Source organism: Homo sapiens, chromosome 12, assembly GCF_000001405.40.
Source record: "Homo sapiens chromosome 12, GRCh38.p14 Primary Assembly".
NCBI lineage: Eukaryota > Metazoa > Chordata > Mammalia > Primates > Hominidae > Homo > Homo sapiens.
Window position 1 is genome coordinate 122,475,012 of NC_000012.12, and position 19,243 is coordinate 122,494,254.

Sequence of the window (19,243 nt, forward strand, 5' to 3'; positions counted from 1 at the left end):
GGCATGAGCAACTGCACCTAGCCTAATTGCCCAATTTCCCAATTTTTTATTTTTGAGATGGAGTCTTGCTCTGTTGCCCAGGCTGGAGTGCAGTGGCATGATTTCAGCTGGCTGCAACCTCTGCCTCCCGGGTTCAAGCAGTTCTTCTGCCTCTGCCTCCCAAGTAGCTGGGATTACAGCGCACGCCAACATGCCCGGCTGTTTTGTATTTTTAGTAGAGATGGGGTTTCTCCATGTTGGCCAGGCTGGTTTCGAACTCCTGATCTCAAGTGATCCGCCCACCTCGGCCTCCCAAAGTGCTGAGATTACAGGCCTGAGCCACTGTGCCTGGCCCCCAATTGTTTTCTCTAATCTACACTGCTCGCCTGAACTGCAGGTTCACATATCTAACTGCCCACTGACCATCATCACCTACACGTTCCACAGATACAACCTGTCCAAAACAAATGATCTCTTCCTAAAATGAGGACTGTTTTCCCATCTGCTGTTCTCACAAATGGCACCACCAGTGGATCTGCTTGTCCTCTGAGAGTACTCTCTTTCCTTCCATCCATCCCCAGGTCTTTGGCTCTCTGGGGTGCATGCTCTCCTGCTGGCTGCCACAGCCGCTACCTTGCTTCAGGCCCATGACATTTGCCAGGAACATCAGAATCACCCTGACCTCTGGATTCATCTTCCTTGTGTCTGTCCTCCAAACCGCTGCCAGATTCATCACAAGTCTGGCCCTATAACCTTTCCCATCTCCATTGGAAACCATTCAGTGCCTGCCCAGACCCCACAGGATGAAGTCCAATCTTCCTCCATGGCCCTCTAGGATATAGTTTCCTTACTTCCATCATGTCACCTCCTATTGCCTGGCTCAAACTCCAGCTGTCACCCTGCTGCTGGCCTGATGTGCTGTGAAGTTTCACTATCCTGCATCTGCACTTCCCTCTGTCTCAAATGCCCTCCTCCTCATTTCCTTGGTAAATCCCTGCATTCATCCCTCAAGATGCAGTTCAAAGTTACCCTATGACTTCATTCAGCACAGATGCTGTTTTTCCTCTGTGCCACCATTACAGTCTGGAACTGCTCTGTGGCAGCAATATGTAATACTATCATTCTGTATATATCACTGTGGGCCACCACATTTATATGAAAATGATGTTTACACATCTGCAATCCCGAGGTGACAGAGAGTGGTAACTAGGGCAGCAATACTGTCTTATTAAGCTTTCTGCCTCAGGGTCTAGTAGGGGGTCTGAACTTTATTCTATAGACAATAAGATTTGTGAGAATAACAAACTCTCACTTAGAAGTCAACTCATGGCCCAGCACGGTGGCTCATGCCAGTAACATTGGGAGGCTGAGGCAGGCAGATTGCTTAAACTCAGGAGTTCAATATCAGCCTGGGCAACAAAATAAGACCTCGGTGTCTACAAAATATACAAAAATCAGCTGGGTTTGGTGGCATATGCCTATACTCCCAGCTACATGGGAGGCTGAGGTGGGAGGACTGCTTGATCCCAGGAGTCTGAGGCTGCACTGAGCCATGATCGCACCACTGCACTCCAGCCTGGGCAACCGAGCCAGATCCTGTCTCAAAAAAAAAAACAAAAAACAAAACAAAACAGAAATAGAGGAAAGAGCCCCTAGTACAAAACTGAAAATGCCTACACAGAAGTGTGTGACCCTGGTGACAGGGGTGCCACCACCACAAATCCCCAAACTTCAAAAAATGACAACCATGGGCCAGGCACGGTGGCTCACACCTATAATCCCAGCACTTTGGGAGGTGGAGGCGGGCAGATCACCTGAGGTCAGGAGCTCAAGACCAGCCTGGCTAACACGGAGAAACTCCATCTCTACTAAAAATACAAAATTAGCCAGGCGTGGTGGCGGGCACCTGTAATCCCAGCTACTTGGGAGGCTGAGGCAGGAGAATCGCTTGAACCTGAGAGGCGGAGGTTGCAGTGAGCCAAGATCACGCCACTGCACTCCAGCCTGGGAGACAGTGAAACTCTGTCTCGAAAAACAACCGAAAAAACAAAGAAAAACTTAGGGGAAATAATTTGAGGGCTTTGATTCTGAACTTTGAAGTCACTTGTGCAAAATAATTTGATGTGGGGCTTTAATCCCTTTGAACTTTAAGGGAATTTAATTCATGATCTTTTTTTTTTTTGAGATGGAGGCTCACACTTTCGCCAAGGCTGGAGTGCAGTGGCGTGATCTCGGCTCACTGCAACCTCCACCTCCCTGGTTCATGCCATTCTCCTGCCTCAGCCTCCCGAGTAGCTGGGACTACAGGCGCCCACCACCATGCCCAGCTAATTTTTTGTATTTTTAATAGAGACAGGGTTTCACCATGTTTGCCAGGATTGTCTTGATCTCCTTACCTTGTGACCCGCCTGCCTCAGCCTCCCAAAGTGCTGGGATTACAGGCGTGAGCCACCGCGCCCGGCTTAATTCATGGTCTTTAAATTCTCTCTGTGAATTTGAAAATGAAGACAGGGGCCGGGCACGGTGGCTCACGCCTGTAATCCCAGCACTTTGGGAGGCTGAGGTGGGTGGATCACAAGGTCAGGAGTTCGAGACCAGCCTGGTCAAGATGGTGAAACCCTGTCTCTACTAAAAAAAAAAAAGTACAAAAATTAGCTGGGCGTGGTGATGCATGCCTGTAATCCCAACTACTCGGGAGGCTGAGGCGGGAGAATACTTGAACCCGGGAGGCAGAGGTTGCGGTGAGCCGAGATCACGCCATTGTACTCCAGCCTGGGTGACAAGAGTGAGACTCCATCTCAAAAAAAAAAAAAAAAAAGAGAGAAATCAGAGCCATAGGATGAAACCTACCTGAATCGAGCTCCATGTCGGCGGGAGATCCCGCTGAGTTGCTTTCATTCTTCTGCTTCTTTGGACTACCTGGGCTAGAGTGAGATGAAGACCTCTTGTTGCCAGACTTCACACCTGGCTAAAAGAGCAACCAGACCAAACACAAGTTAAGCGGGGTAGATAATGAATTAAACTCCATCCCTTCACTTAAAATGATGTAGAAAAACAATCTGGAGTTAAGTCTAGGTAATTGGTGAATTTTGCCACTGTTTTCCTTTTGGTTTGTCAAGATAACAAAGCAAGAAAAGGCTGTAAGACGCTAATAAATTACACAATCTCGCAGACACAACAACATTTTATAGAGCACACCCTTAAAATCTATTTACCGCTTGGAAGTTAGAAGTAAGGTAATTGGCAAACACATCCTTCTGCTGACATGCCTGCATTGGTATGGAACCAAAGATCCTCCATTCCTAATGATGAAAAGAGAAGGAAAAAAAAAACACATGTATTTGGAAAATGTCATGTTTTGAGATTTTGCTCAAAGGAGGTACAGTGGAGATCTCAAATTACATTTTTCCTTCTTATGTTACTTTTCCTTTATTGGAAATTAAGGAAAATAATGTGTTGAAGGAAAACTAAACTTGCCTGCAAAATAATTAAGACTGAATACTAAAAGACTACCTGACACAATCACTTGGCCAAAAAAGGTTCTACATACTGCAAGCAGAAGATGTAGGCAGGAGTGACTGCTATGGGGCCTCCCAGGCTCCAGTCTCTCTCCCATCAAGCACTGGCACTGCTAACAGGGCCATTCATCGCCCAATTCTCCTAACACACTTACTCATGAGTTTTCTATCTTCTGCTCTTTCTCTTTCCAAATACAGCATCATCTTTAAAGATTCCACACAGCTTGTTTCTCTCTCATCTCCAATCGCACATTCAACAGTGGTTCTCGGTAAGAATCCCATGGAACTCTTGTGAAACATACAGGTTCTAGGTTTTGAATCAGTTAAGTCTAAGGGTGGGACTCAAGAATGTACATTTCTAACGAGTATTCCCAGGGGACTCTGAAGTAGACTGGAAGCTGGACTGGCTTCCAGAAGCACTGATGGTTTGTATCATGCACTTCCGCCCGTAATGAATTACACAGTCTTGCGTGATTGAGAACTTTCTATCTGCTCACTAGACTCTAACTTCAAGTCTTTGGCTGTTTCCCTACTGTCCAGTTCCTAAGAACACCAAGGATACACTTTTTATTTTTATATTTTTTGAGATGGAGTTTTGCTTTCATCACCCAGGCTAAAGTGCAATGGCACGATCTCGGCTCACTGCAACCTCCACCTCCTTGGTTCAAGTGATTCTTCTGCTTCAGCCTCCTGAGTAGCTGGGATTATAGGCGCCTGCCACCACGCTCAGCTAATTTTTATATTTTTAGTAGAGATAGGATTTTGCCATGTTGGCCAGGCTGGTCTCAAACTCCTGAGCTCCAGGTGATCCACCCGCCTTGGCTTCCCAAAGTGCTGGGATTACAGGCACGGGCCACTGCGCCGGCCAAGAATATGCTTTTTAAATAAAACAGTACAATAGTTCATTGTTGAATCCTGAGACCTAAGATGGAAGCTGGAAAAGAGTTAAGTATGGAAAAACCATTCATATAAAAAATGAGAAATTTTACTTTGAGGGGAAAAAAGGCAAGAATAATCAGGAAAAAGAGTGATAATATATTTAGATTTATTATAGATAGAAACTTATTTCCCAAGTTAATTCTGTAAAATTAATAATACTGTCTCAGAAAAATCCATATTGTTAAAAACTTTTAAAATGTTAGAGTACTTTTAGATTTAGATACTCTAACCAATCTATTTTGGCTCCCTTTCTGAGGGCACAAAATCAGAGAAAACTGCTGTTGATGAATATAAGACTTCAATTAAGATTCTAGAAAGATTCTATAAAAGAAATTAAAAATGTAAACAAGTAACAAATTTATTCCTTTAAATAGTAACTGCTATATAAGTTTGTAGGTGTATATGAATTAACTAATTATTTTTTGAGACAGGGTCTAGTGTGATCTCACCTCACTGTAACCTCTGCAATCCTCCCACCCCAGCCTCCCTAGTAGCCAGGACTACAGGCATGTGCCACCACCCTTGGCTAGTTTTTAAATTTTTTCATAGAGACAAGGTCTTGCTATGTTGCCCAGGCTGGTCTCGAACTCTGGGACTCAAGTGATCATCTTGCCTCGGACTCCCAAAGTGTTGGGATTACAGGTGTGAGCCACTATGCCTAGCCAACAAGTTAATATTTTGACCAATCTTTAACATAATAATATCACATCACATGATAATTTAAAAAAATCAATATACTTACGTCTGGAATTCCTCTGGGAGTAGATATATTAAAACCAGGATAGTTGACCAATTTTGAGAGATCGTAAGTGACACTTTTATTCTGTTGTATTTCTCCAACTTCTGTTTCCCCATCAGTGCCATCTATTACAGACCATAAAAAGTGTTAATATTGCTAAATGTCAATATATATCCCTCCCCAGACCAAAAGTACACCTGGAAAGTGCTTATAATCATGGCAACAGAATTAGTTTTGAAATGGCTTTCAATTTTCATTATAATTTTTCTAAATCATTAGGACAGAACTTTTTTTTTTTTTTTTTGAGAAAGGGTCTTGCTTTGTCACCAGGCTGGAGTGCAGTGGCACCATCTTGGCTCACTACAGCTTCTGCCTCTCAGGCTCAAGTGATCCTCCCACCTCAGCCTCCTAAATAGCTGGTACTACATGAACGCACAACCACACCAGGGTAGGCTGTGTATTTTTAGTAGAGACGGGGTTTCACGATGGTGCCCAGGCTGGTCTCAAACTCCTGAGCTCAAGAGATCCACCCACTGCCTCAGCCTCCCGAGTAGCTGGGATTACAGGCGCCTGCCACCACGCTTGGCTAATTTTTGTATTTTTAGTAGAGGCCGGGTTTCACCGTCTTGGCTAGGCTGGTCTTGAACTCCTGACCGCAACTGATCCACCCATCTCGGCCTCCAAAAATCCTGGGATTACAGCCATGAGCCACTGTGCCCGGCTGAAACCTGCTTTTTAAAAACTCAATACTGCACAAAGATTTTGCCATGTCAGCTCATACAGATTTATTCCACTCTTCATGTATGTTGCAGGGAGTCCACAGCTCAGAACTACCAATTTATTTAACCATTCTTTTTTAGGGCCTTAATGTTGTCGTAGATTTTTCACTATCATATTCAATGATACAAAAAGATTCTTGTATACATACAATTTCCTTTTCATATGTGTGAATATCTTTCTAGGGTAGGTATCTAGGAGAGAAGTTCTAGACTATTAGAGGTTTTCTGTATTTTACATTTTACAGGTCTCCTGGCATTTAGGATTTATGTCTGTTATTATTACTGACAAAGATAAGAGCTTATGAGGACTGGCTGGAGAGGTGATACTCTGGCCTAGACAGTACCTGAGCAAGCCCAGAAAACCATCAGATAATCTACAAACTCACTGAAATTTTATTCCTTCCTTGTAAAATTTACCAAGGAAACATCATCATGATATTTTTTAGTTAGCACACATTAAAGAAGCCGGCCATTCCTATCACATTTTGTTGTGATTCTTTAATTAAAAAAAAAAAGGAAACACTTAAGGTGACTTCTCTAACTTAAGATACTATACCTTTTCCATCATAGAGTGCAAGCCCCGAATTCTCCAATTCAGCCTCTTTGAGCCACCCTGGTGGGTACCCTAGCTGGCGCATCCGATAGATAAAAGGTGGAAGACTCTTGTCTGTCACACCTAGTGCATCTTGAAGTTCCTCACTAAGTAAAAATAAAGGAGGAAGAAAAATACTGAATTCTTATTTGCATGAAAACACATAGTATTCTGGTATTTTAAAACATTTCTTGCTTATATTACATACCATGACGTCTAACAAATATAAATTAAAATTTAAAGAAGTGTTTCTAAATGAATTAATGTATATTACCTAGGGCTTTGCCAGAGTACACTTATATCCTGATAATTAGCCCAAAGAGACACAGAACATTCCAAATGCTAGGGAAATAAAAATGACCTTCTATGGTAAAATGCCATTAGTACCTAATAACTCCTGGCTTGAATCTTCCAAATCTTTCTTCTACTTCTTCTGCGTGGTATCGCTGCTGGAAATTCTGATTGTTTGCTTCTCCACAGGCATCCATATACTCTTTTCTCTTTTCACTTATTCGAGCAGCATTCCGAGGCTACATCATGACACATTTGAAAAGAATGGTTTCATGCAACTCAGAAATATTTCAGAAATTAAATAAAAATACTTTTTTTTAGATCAAGTAAACAGATTATTTTAGTTTTAATGTATAACGAACAAGTGTAAAAGAGGGTGAATATTTTAGAAAAATACGTAAGGAAAGGAGCAGTCTATTTATTACCTATTATCATAAATTAAATCAAGTTTTTAGGATAAACTCTACAATTTAATTCTCATGTTTATTCATCTCAAATACAAAGAGTACTGTTTTAAATTATTTACTGAAAAAATTTAATGTCTTAAAATATGAACACAAATTTGAAAAGATTTCAAATTAAAGGACACTGTTTTAAATTATTTACTGAAAAAATTTAATGTCTTAAAATATGAACACAAATTTGAAAAGATTTCAAATTAAAGGACACAAGATTTCAAATTAAAGGAACAAAGAAAGTTCCTTCATGTCATACAATAACATAAATGTGTTGAAAACATTAGAAAGCTCTTGTTCAAAGACTTTTCTTAACATGAGAAAAATTTACCATTGGGCAATCTTTCATTTGGTGTTCTTCAGAACCACAATTGAAACAGTGAGGCTTTGGCCTATTTGGTCAAAAGACAAAGATTTTTATAATGTCAATAAAAATAGAAAAGCAAATCAATAAAATTCTATATGACAGCAAAGTGTATCAGAGAGACAAGAAAGCAAGTTGATCACAGATCACTAATATCTGCAACAAGAAGTACACTTTAATCTCCTTTATTTAGTGATTTAAATAGTACTATGCAGAGTCTTTTAACCAAGAACCCTTCTGTTCCTGACTGATCTGTTACCTCTTTTGAGTTTTTTCAGTGGTTAACAACGAAGAATCAAGGTGAACACATTGATCATATTTCCGTTAGGTAACATGGAAAGAAGGCAGATGGTTATAAGACTGCAATCAAATTGACAGCAACAATTATACCTTTCCACCCACCCAGGCACATTAGGTGAGAACCAATGAATTCCAGGAAGCAGATGATTCATTTAAACATTTAACATATATGTATGGATTAAAATTCTAGCTCAATCTGTAATTAACCTTAGAGTAAACCAGCAGTAAAGAACATGAACTTTTCAAGCCAAAAGTTTATGATTTTGGTTAAAAAAGTAAATAAGTAAAACAAAACAACTCCCCACACAAACCTTTTTGCCTTTACTTGTATTTCTTGCCCTTCTAGAGAAACAATGTGGCTGAAGACTTGATGGTACCTTTAGTGAATTTTATTAAGGAATAGTTATCATGGTCTGCAAAATTTGGAAATTGTTTTAAAGGTGAACTTAGTGGCAAGATGCATAAAAGATCTTCATTCACTATGTAGGATACTTGGGTATTTCCCATCCTTCGGAAAGCTGAGGGTTTTCATTTAGAAGCGGTTGCCCCAATTTATCAAGGCAAAAATTAGTAAAATACAGGACACTTCCTACAACCTGCAGAAAACAAGTCAAAAAATATTGCTATTTAAGCAGAAAAAAAGACATTAAATAATGTAAGATTATGATTAACTGTTTTAACAATTTATTTTTGGATGGAATTATTAGAAATAATAACTTCCTTGTTATTAAGGAGCCAGACTTTGATGTGTAAGTAGAAACTACATCGTCAGTTCCCTCTCTCTGCTAGATCAGTTTTTCCTCTGTATTGGATCATGACTATCAGCTGCATTCTCTACAGAATTCAAACAAAAAATGAAAACCTTGACTCTCATATTTCCCTCCAATGCCCCATTTCATTGCTTCTCTTTGCAAGACATGCAGACCCTTTAGTTATTGTTTCCATTTCCTTTCTTCCCATTTACTCTTTTCTTATCCCTCCAGTTCTTTTTGAAAAAATTCCATACAGACAAGTTGGAAAAGTGGTACAATGAATACCCAATGTATCCTTCACCTAAACAACTGTTAATAGTTTAACATTTTTGTCTGCCTCTCTCTCTCTTTACACATACACCGAACACACACACATACACTTTTTTGTTTGTTTTGAGATAGGGTCTCTGTTGCCCAGGCTGGAGTACAGTGGTGCAATCTTGGCTTACTGCAACCTCCACCTGCCAGGCTCAAACGATCCTCCCACCTCAGCCTCCTGAGAAGCTGGGACCACAAGCACGGTCAGCTATTTTTTTGCCCAGCTATTTTTTTGTATTTTTAGTAGAGGCAGTCTTGCCATGTTGCCCAGGCTGGTCTCAAACTCCTGAGCTTAAGCGATCCACCCGACTCAGCCTCCCAAAATGTTAGGATTACAGCCGTGAACCACTGCACCTGGCCTCACATATACTCTTTAATTTTTTTTTTTTTTTTGAGGCAGGGTCTTGCTCTGTTGTCCAGGCTGGAATGCAGTGGCATGATCTTGGCTCACTGTAACTTCAAAGTCCTGGGCTAAAATGATCCTCCTGCCTCAGTCTCCTGAGTAGTTGTGTCACTACACACAGCTAATTTTTTTTTTTGAGATGGGGTCTTGCTATGTTGTCCAGGCTGGTCTTAAACTCCTGGCCTCAAGCAATCCTCCCGCCTCAGCCTCCCAAAGTGCTGGGACTACAGGTGTTGAGCCACTGTGCCTGGCCTCCATTTTTTTAATGACACTGCCCTCTCTCTTGAACATTTCCAGTAATGCTTCTATACATATCACTGGGCTGAGCTCCTAACAATGGAGCTTCCCAATGACCTCCATGCAGCCAAATTCAATGAACAGTTCTCACTCTTCATCTTTCTTAACCTAGCTGTGACAATTGACACAATTCTTCCTTCCTCCTAAAAACATCTTCCTCCCTTGTCTTCTAGGACATGCTTCTCCGTTCTCTTCTTTCCTTGCTGACTGAGCCTCGCTCTTCTGTGCTAGACTCTTCTCATCCCTCTATCTTCCATGTATTAGAGTGCCCTAGGTCTCAGTCCTCCTCTCCACTTTCACTACTCAGGTGGTTCATCCTGACCCATGGTATGTAGTATAATATGTATGCTTACGACTTCTAAAGGTCAAGTTATTATTATTATTTTTTGAGACGGAGTTTCGCTCTTGTTGCCCAGGCTGGAGTGCCATGGCGCAATCTCAGCTCACTGCAACCTCCGGTTGAACCTCCTGGGTTCAAGCGATTCTCCTGCCTCAGCCTCTCAAGTAGCTGGGATTACAGGCATGCACCACCACACCCGGCTAATTTTGTATTTTTAGTAGAGACGGGGTTTCTTCATGTTGGTCAGGCTGGTCTCAAACTCTCGACCTCAGGTGATCTGCCCGCCTTGGCCTCCCAAAGTGCTGGGATTACTGGCATGAGCCACTGCGCCTGGCCTAAGTTATCACTTTTTAATTATTATTTTTTCACTGGGAGCATAGATTGAAGTTGCCCTGAATATATGTTCTCCTTTACGGTCAAGTTCTGATCAGTCCTAACCTCCAATTTTATATATGGAAGTGTCAACTTGACAGCTCTCAAGGGGCGTGTGAGTGGCATCTCAAACTCACCTGCTTAAAACTGCACTGGATTTCTAGCCCCCTCCAAACCTGCTCCTCCTCTAGTCTTCCCCATCAGAGAAAATATGACGACATCCTTTTTTTTTTTTTTCTGAGATGGAGTCTCGCTCTGTCGCCCAGGCTGGAGTGCAGTGGCGCGATCTCGGCTCACTGCAAGCTCTGCCTTCCAGGTTCATGCCATTCTCCCGCCTCAGCCTCATGAGTAGCTGGGACTACAGGCGCCCACCACCACGCCTGGCTAATTTTTTACGACGACATTCTTACTGGCACTCGGGCCAAAAACCTGAGTCACTCCGATGACTCTTTTGCTCTCATATTCTGCGTCCAATTCATCAACACATTTGATCAGCTCTACTTCCCCAGTACATCCACGTTCTAAGCACTTCTCAGCAGCACCACTCTCACTCCAGTCTCAGTACCAGTTTCTCTCACCTGAGTTGAATACAATAACTTCCTAACTGGTTTTCAGCTTCCACAGATAACCAGCTACAGACTATTTTCCACACAGAACCCAGCTCTTTTAAAAAGTCAATTCATGGCCAGGCGTGGTGGCTCATGCCTGTAATCCTAGCACTTTGGGAGGCCGCGGTGGGTGGATCACAAAGTCAGGAGTTTGAGACCAGCCTGACCAACATGGTGAAACCCCATCTCTACTAAAAATACAAAAATTAGCCAGGTGTGGTGGTGCACACCTGTGATCCCAGCTACTCAGGAGGCTGAGGCAGGAGAATTGCTTGAATCTGGGAGGGGGAGGTTGCAGTAAGCTGAGATTGTGCCATGGCACTCTAGCCTGGGTGACAGAGCGAGAGGCTGTCTCAAAAAAAAAAAAAAAAAAAAAAAAAAGTCAATTCATATCATGTTACATTTCTACTTAAAACCCTCTATCACTTCTCATCTTACAGTAAAATCTAAAGTCCTCATTACAGTCTGTTGCACAACCTACAGATTCAGACCACGTGCTCCAGACTCCAAGGGCCTGGCTTTTTTTTTGAGAGAGAGAGTCTCGCTCTGTTGCCCAGGCTGGAGTGAAGTGGCATGATCTCGGCTCACTGCAACCTCTGTCTCCCGGGTTCTAGCGATTCTCCTGCCTCAGCCCCCTGAGTAGCTGGGATTATGGGCTTCAGTCACCATACCCAGCTAATTTTTGTATTTTTAGTAGAGATGAGGTTTTGCCACGTTGGCCAGGCTGGTCTCCAACTCCTGACCTCAGGTGATCCACCTGCCTTGGCCTCCCAAAGTGCTGGGATTACAGATGTGAGCCGCCGTGCCAGGCCACGGGCCTGGTTTTAAGCCCTGCCCTGGCTTTGCCACTCACTAACCCACTGGCGAGTTACTTAGCTTTCCACCTGTTTCCTCATCTGTACAACTGAAGCCTAAGAGCACCTTCATGAGTAATACCTTTAATGAGCTTAGAACTTACATGCCAGGTAGTGCTCCTGCCTTGGGGCTTTCTACTTACCTTCCTACTGCCTGGAGTGCCCCATTCAAAGCACAGCCTTCACTTACTTCCTCAATGCATCCAAGGTTCGGTTCAGAGAGGCTGTCAGTCACTATACAAACCACCTACCCCACAGCTACTCTGCTTTCTCTGCTTTATTTTTCTTCAGGGCACTACCTTCCCTGACTACAATGTAATTCGATGAGAGCTGGGACTTTGCCCTTCTTTTCACTGCTGTCTCCCTGGAACCTAGAAGGATCCCTGGGACAAAACAGCATTCACTAAATATTTTCGTATTTTTTAAAGGTCTAAATTAATAAACAAAATTCCCAGTTTCTAGGCAAGTGCCACTTTCAATCCCAGAACCTTAGGGTCAGAAGGAAAATGAAAAACTACCTCATTCAAATTCAGAAATTTTTCTTTAAAGTGTCCGGATAACATCTCAGTCCCTATTTGACTCCAGTAATACTGAATTCACTTTTATGAATGAGAAGTGCCATTTCACTTGTTTTTTTTCTTTTTTCTTTTGAATGCCAGGTCATATCATTTTTCACATCTCTTATAGAAACTTGAACTTTCTAAAGGTTGAGTTGAAATGTACCTTCTTGTACTCAATTCAATCACTGGTCTTAATTCTGCCACTTGGCACTTTAAAGGGTGATTTAAAATAAGTTTTAGTCTTTTACAAATAACAACCTTTATCCTATTTGTAGAGATGCGACATCCTTTGTAAATTTTTCTTTCAATAAAGTCTGTGGGCTCTTCATCATCCCAGTAGGCCCATATCTCTTTCTTTTTTATATACACATATGTATCTATACATACATATATATATATATTTTGTTTGTTTGTTTGTTTTCTGAGACAGGGTCTTGCTCTGTCACCTAGACTGGAGTGCAGTGGCACAATCATGGCTCACTGCAGCCTTGACCTCAAGCAGTCCTCCCACTTCAGCCTCCTGAGTAGCTGGGACTACAGGTCCATGCCACCACACTTGGCTAATTTTTTTTTTTTTTGAGACAGAGTCTCACTCTGTTGTCCAGGCTGGAGTGCAGTGGCAAATCTCGGCTCACTGCAGCCTCAGTCTCTTGGGTTCAAAGCAATTTCCGTGACTCAGTCTCCCGAGTAGCTGGGACTACAGGTGTGCACCACCACACTTGGCTAATTTTTGTATTTTCAGTAGAGACAAGGTTTCGCCATGACAGCCAGGCTGGTCTCGAACTCCTGACCTCAAGTGATCCATCGGCCTCAGCCTCCCAAAGTCCTGGGATTACAGGTGTGAGCCACTTCGCCCAGCCACACTTGGCTAATTTCTTAAGAATTTTTCATAGAGATGAGTTCTGGCTATGTTGCCCAGGCTAGTCTGGAACTCCTGGACTCAGGTAATCCTTCCACCTTGGCCTCCCAGAACACTGGGGATTACAGATGTGAGCCACTGCACCCAGCCTAAAATTGTGGTATACTAATATGGGATAATACTACATAAACATGAAAACCAGTTTTCCTTCAATATTATAGAATCCACTATTACATTACCTTTTAAAATATTATATGCTGCGCTGGGCACAGTGGCTCACATCTGTAATCCCAACACTCTGGGAGGCCAAGGAGGGTGGATCACAAAGTCAGGAGTTCGAGACCAGCCTGGCCAACATGGTGAAACCCTGTCCCTACTAAAAATACAAAAATTAGCTGGGCGTGGTGGCGGGTGCCTGTAATCCCAGCTACTCGGGAAGCTGAGGCAGGAGAATTGCTTGAACCCGGGAGGCGGAGGTTGCAGTGAGCCGAGATTGCACCATTGCACTCCAGCCTGGACGACAGGGCAAGACTCCGTTTCAAAAAAAAAAAAAAAAAAATTATAAGCTGCAAAATCATACTACTACATTGTATTAACACTAACGAATTTTGCACAGGTATTGAAAGGCTGTAGCCTAAATGTAGGTCATCCCTGTTAACTTCTTCTGTTTTTCACCCACCATTTGAGACTGTCAACACTTTAAATTCCAAATTTGCCATCTGTTACATTAGCTATCTATCCCTCTCAGCTTTAGCCATGTATAAGTTCAACAAGCATGCTTTCTATATCTTCATCCAACTTCTTGAATAAACACAGTGGTTGGTCAATACAAAAACAAAGTTCTCCAAAGTATGTTTACTGTGCCCCAGGTCACAACGCAATCATTATTAAACAGCAAACTGAGGCTAAAGTCCAAACTGCTATTTACCACAAAAAGATGCTGTTATCAAGTGAAGACATATGACTATACTACTTTATCTTTTAAACGCCACCCAGTTGACATAGGATAGGAAACACCTATTGGCTGAATTCAAAACTGAAATGTCCAAACTTACACTGAAAGCTTCCTTGTTGTTTTTAATGGCACAGGACTCTTCCACTTTGTGGTCCTCCTCTAGCACAATACTGGATGGCTAATACAAAGAAAAACACATATTACAACCGGTAACCAATTTTTAACCAGTTTAAATGGAAGTTAGTAAGTTTAGAAATTAAGCTAAGAATGTTTATGAACGACATTTCATGTGGGAGAATGGAAGATGTAAAAGGAGAGCTTCTTCTGAAGCACTAGCATGCACTACAACTTCTTTTTTAACCAGTATTAATTATGCCGCTTTCAACACTTTAAACTGGCAAGGCAGATAACCAGAAAGATCAAAAATATATAGTTTTACATTACTGGTCAATATTGATAATATAACCCTCACAGACCTCAAGCCACTACAAAAGTTTCCTTGAATCAAAAATAATATTCAGTATGAATTTTATTGTTAAATGTATTTTGTTTGCTGAATCTTTAAAAATTGTACAGAATACATAAAAACCAAAGGCAATAAAAAACGTAATCAATCAGAACACTGTTCTCCAAAGCCTGAGGATAAACAGCTAAAGTTCCTTATTTGAGAAATACTACTTACCTTAATTTTTAATAAAAAAAAAAAAGACCCAGAAATCATAACTCTGATTCTCCTCTCTCTCTCTCTCTTTTTTTTAAAACATAAATGCGTGATCTAATATTCACATAGTAAAACTTCTCAGATTTCTTTGGGCACACAATTAATTTTCTAAAAACAAGTAGAGGGAAAAAAGGATAGTCCACAAGCCTGTTGGTTTTAGATAAAAGGAATCCATCTTTTATAAACCCCAGAAACTTAGATTTTTTTCTGGCCTAAAATTAATTTTCTACCCAAAACCACATGTCCAAGTCAGGCAATGTAAAAAGTCTGAGCCACAAGGTAAAAGAACGCTGTGTGGCTAAACCAGTCAGGCTTCGGAAAAGCAAGCCAGTAGAAGGAGAAGTGGTAAACGGTGTTAATCATTTTGGTTTTGATTCAAGAGGATCCTTGTGGCCCAATAATTGGCAGTGAAACGCATAACTTACTAATCTTAAAGTCTCTTAAATTTGAAATACCTGGGGCAAAAGATTAAAGGAAGTCTTTTCCACATCATTTTTCTGCTGTTCCTCAAATCTTTTTACTAAATTTGATACAAATTCCTCTATTTCTTGATGATATTGCCTGTGTAAGAGGACAAAATGGTCAGAACCCAGACAGAGTAAAACATTCAATAGACTGAAGTCTTATGCATTACTGTAAGATTTCAAGTGTGAATGTTGTTGTTTTTCAGAAGTTTAATAAATCACTGACTCTGTAATACTCAGGAACATATTCCTTAAGATAAATTACATATTATTGCCAAGTTAATGCAATAATTATGATAAAGTAACACAGTGATTGGCATAACAACTGCCAACCAGTTGTGCAAAGAATACACGGATTTTATTTAAAAATTCTGTGTACTTAATTTTTAAATAGATACTACATGTAAATGGTTCAAAATCCAAGAGAAGTAAAAGGGTTACATAATGAAAAGCTCCCTTCCTACCCTGTCTCTTGGCCATCTATTTCTGCAACACAAAGATAGTCCATATATTCAGGTCTTCCACATCCTCCTCCCAGAGATTCTTAATACGTACATAAGGAAACACCAATATAAATATGAAACTGGAAAAGATAAAATCAAAATGCAAAGCAAGAAAAAATACTGAGATCTGCTTTCCCCAGCCCTCCAGGTCAAGAACCAAGCTCATCATATATTCGGTAGTGCTCAGTTCAGGAGGTGTCAAAGGAGCCCAAGCCTTATTACCATGTAATCGGGGAGCCATAATGTCTCAGACTCAGTTTCCTTTTCACAGACTTGATGATTTTTTAGGTATCTTGTAGCTCTGACATTTTAAGATTTCTGTAGATGGGCAGATCACTTGAGGTCAGGAGTTCGAGACCAGCCTGGCCAACATGGCGAAACCCTGTCTCTACTAAAAATACAAAAATTAGCCAGGCCTGGTGGCAGGCACCTGTAATCCCAGCTACTTGGGAGACTGAGGCAAGAGAATCGCTTGAACCCAGTGGGTGGAGGTTGTAGTGAGCCAAGATCTTGCCATTGGACTCCAGCCTGGGCAAAAAGAGTGAAACTCCATCTCAAAAAAAAAAAAAAAAAAGCCAGGTGCGGTGCCTCATACCTGTAATCCCAGCACTTTGGGAGGCCGAGATGGGTGGATCACCTGAGGTCGGGAGTTTGAGACCAGCCTGACCAACATGGAGAAACCCCGTCTCTACTAAAAATACAAAATTAGCTGGGCATGGTGGTGCATGCCTGTAATCCCAGCTACGTGGGAGGCTGCGGCAGGAGAATCACTTGAACCTGGCAGGTGGAGGTTGTGTTGGGCCAAGATTGTGCCATTGCACTCCAGCCTGAGCAACAAGACCGGAACTCCATCTCAAAAAAAAAAAAAAAAAGATTTCTGCAGGTGAAACACTAGGTGAATGGTGCAGAAATGAGACCGTCATGAGCTAGAGGGTTACTGATTCTAACCTGGGCATGAGAGGGACACTAGTGCTACAGCCCAGTTGTGCCCAGCACCTTGCTGCTGTATTTAGCATCCAGCTTCCCAACCCTCAGAGCCTTGGGTTCCACTTCTGCTGGGATAGAGTAGGTTATGGACCTGACCTTGGTCAGCATTAAGAAGACAACAATATGACTAAGTGACTTTCGAGGGAGCAAGCAACTATGTGAAATGTCTATGACCATGCTCTGAAGGAGGGACAGAGCAAACCATTTTAGACCTTACACTCTGAGCAAACACTGCAGGAATGCGCAGGGTCACCCTAAACCCTGATGCTGATGGTTTGCAAAAGTCTAGTTTTGCTGTTAAAACAAATAATCAAGTGAGTAGGCTTTGAAGATGGCCAACATGGAAAACTCAGTTACCTGATTCAGAAAGAGAAATGGTGAACATCATTGTTATTGTTACAGTGATAGTGATGATTTTTATTAGAAGCTATTTATTGAGCTCTTAGAGGTGCTCATGTAGCTACCCCATAGGTAGTTACTATGACTATCCTGTTTTCCAGTGAAGTAACGGATGATGCAGCAAAGATCTGTGACCTTCCCAGGTTCACAGACATAGAAAGTAAGAGTCCAGATATTCAGGTCACTGTGACCCCAATGTCCTTGCTCTTAATCATGATTCCTTGTACTTTAACTCCAGGGGCATTTTAAGTAAAATAATAAAAATGATATGAGTACAAATGAAAACAGCATATTTATAGAGAAAATTGTTCCATAAACACATTATTATATTTAGGAAAGGGAAAAAATTACTTACTTTGAAATAGCATTGTTCATGAATAGAATCTGTAATATAGGTCCATCTAACTTAGTATCGTTCACCAATATTCCACTAAAACAGAAGTTAGAACATATTCTTAGAAGATATTTAAGTAAAACTTGCATACGTATATATAAACGCATAACTTTTATACTTTTTTTTTCCTTTTTTGACACAGGTTCTCACTCTGTCGCTCGTGCTGGAGTGCTGTGGTGAGATCTTGGATCACTGCAACCTCCGCCTCCCGAGATCAAGCAATCCCACCTCACCTTCCCAAGTAGCTGGGACCACAGGTGCATACCACCACATCCAGCAAATTTTTGTATGTTTTGTGGAGACAGGGTTTTGCCATGTTGGCCAGGCTGGTCTCGAACTCCTGAGCTCAAGGGATCCACCTGCCTCAGCCTCCCCAAGTGCTGGGATTATAGCTGTGAACCATCTCACCAGCCTTAAAATTCTTAAGTACCAAAAATCATATAGCATTTTCCACATATTGCAGTTTTCTCAAGAAAATTATACATTTTCACCAATTCTATCTACTTTAATAATTTTATACAGAGGTATCACTTTTTTTTTAATGTTTAACAAAAAATTAAGAACTGCAGTTAATCTTTCAGTTTTCAACCAAACAGTTTGTCTAATGGCCGATTTCCTTACAAATTAGGGGGAGGGAAGGACTAGGTAAACAAGCAGGTTACAAGAATATACTTCCTCTTTTTTTGGGATGGAGTCTCGCTCTGTTGCCCAGGCTGGATTGCAGTGGGGGCAATCTCGGCTCACTGCAGCCTCTGCCTCCCAGGTTCAAGCAATTCTCCTGCCTCAGCCTCCTGAGTAGCTGGGATTATAGGCGAGCGCCACCACGCCCAGCTAATTTTTGTATTTTTATTTTTATTTTAATTATTTATTTATTTGTGAGACGGAGTCTCACTCTGTTGCCCAGGCTGGAGTGCAGTGGTGTGATCTCAGCTCACTGCAAGCTCTGCTTCCCAGGTTCACACCATTCTCCTGCCTCAGCTTCCCAAGTAGCTGGGACTACAGGCGCCTGCGACCATGCCCAGCTAAGTTTTTTGTATTTTTAATAGGGACGGGGTTTCACCACGTTAGCTAGGATGGTCTCGATCTCCTGACCTCGTGATCTGCCCGCCTCGGCCTCCCAAAGTGCTGGGATTACAGGCGTGAGCCACCGCGCCCAGCCTGTGCCTGTATTTTTCTAAAGGAATCTAAATGAATTTGGCTTGGAAGTATATAGGAAAGAACACTTTATAAATAGACTCTTGGAGGGCAAAGCATATTGTACTAAATATCTCAAATCCAAGATTCTAAAGAAGAGATATAAAAAAGTATACTATTCCTGGATTTGACTTTCAAATACCGCAAAAAACAGAACTAGAATGCAGCCTAGAAACCTGTAATATATCCCATGGGTAGCCCGGGGCCAGCTGAATGTCTGATTCTTCCTCTTCTCACCTGCCTCATATTTCTTTTCCTGTACAGCATGTGAAATAAATGTCTCTATTTGGAATTGTCCATATCAAGT

At 41.6% G+C, this 19,243-nt stretch overlaps 1 protein-coding gene across 7 annotated transcripts in view; it reads right to left on the bottom strand.

Moving 5' to 3' along the window:
- The window catches only part of ZCCHC8 (zinc finger CCHC-type containing 8), a 29,333-nt gene that overhangs the window by 3,412 nt on the left and 6,678 nt on the right, over positions 1 to 19,243 (bottom strand). For 2 of the 7 annotated variants that reach the window (NM_017612.5, NM_001350936.2), the window contains 11 exons: positions 17,704 to 17,778; positions 15,451 to 15,556; positions 14,375 to 14,452; positions 8,449 to 8,552; positions 8,268 to 8,333; positions 7,624 to 7,684; positions 6,934 to 7,076; positions 6,511 to 6,653; positions 5,179 to 5,300; positions 3,195 to 3,281; positions 2,830 to 2,947 (listed from right to left, as the gene is read on the bottom strand). In NM_017612.5, coding sequence (NP_060082.2) covers positions 2,830 to 2,947; positions 3,195 to 3,281; positions 5,179 to 5,300; positions 6,511 to 6,653; positions 6,934 to 7,076; positions 7,624 to 7,684; positions 8,268 to 8,333; positions 8,449 to 8,552; positions 14,375 to 14,452; positions 15,451 to 15,556; positions 17,704 to 17,778 — 1,103 coding nt within the window. Of the gene's footprint in view, positions 1 to 2,829; positions 2,948 to 3,194; positions 3,282 to 3,652; positions 3,786 to 5,178; positions 5,301 to 6,510; positions 6,654 to 6,933; positions 7,077 to 7,623; positions 7,685 to 8,267; positions 8,334 to 8,448; positions 8,553 to 14,374; positions 14,453 to 15,450; positions 15,557 to 15,923; positions 16,043 to 17,703; positions 17,779 to 19,243 lie in introns of those variants that run through there. The other 5 variants (XM_047429117.1, XM_047429118.1, NM_001350937.2 and 2 more) reach the window with 5 other exon arrangements.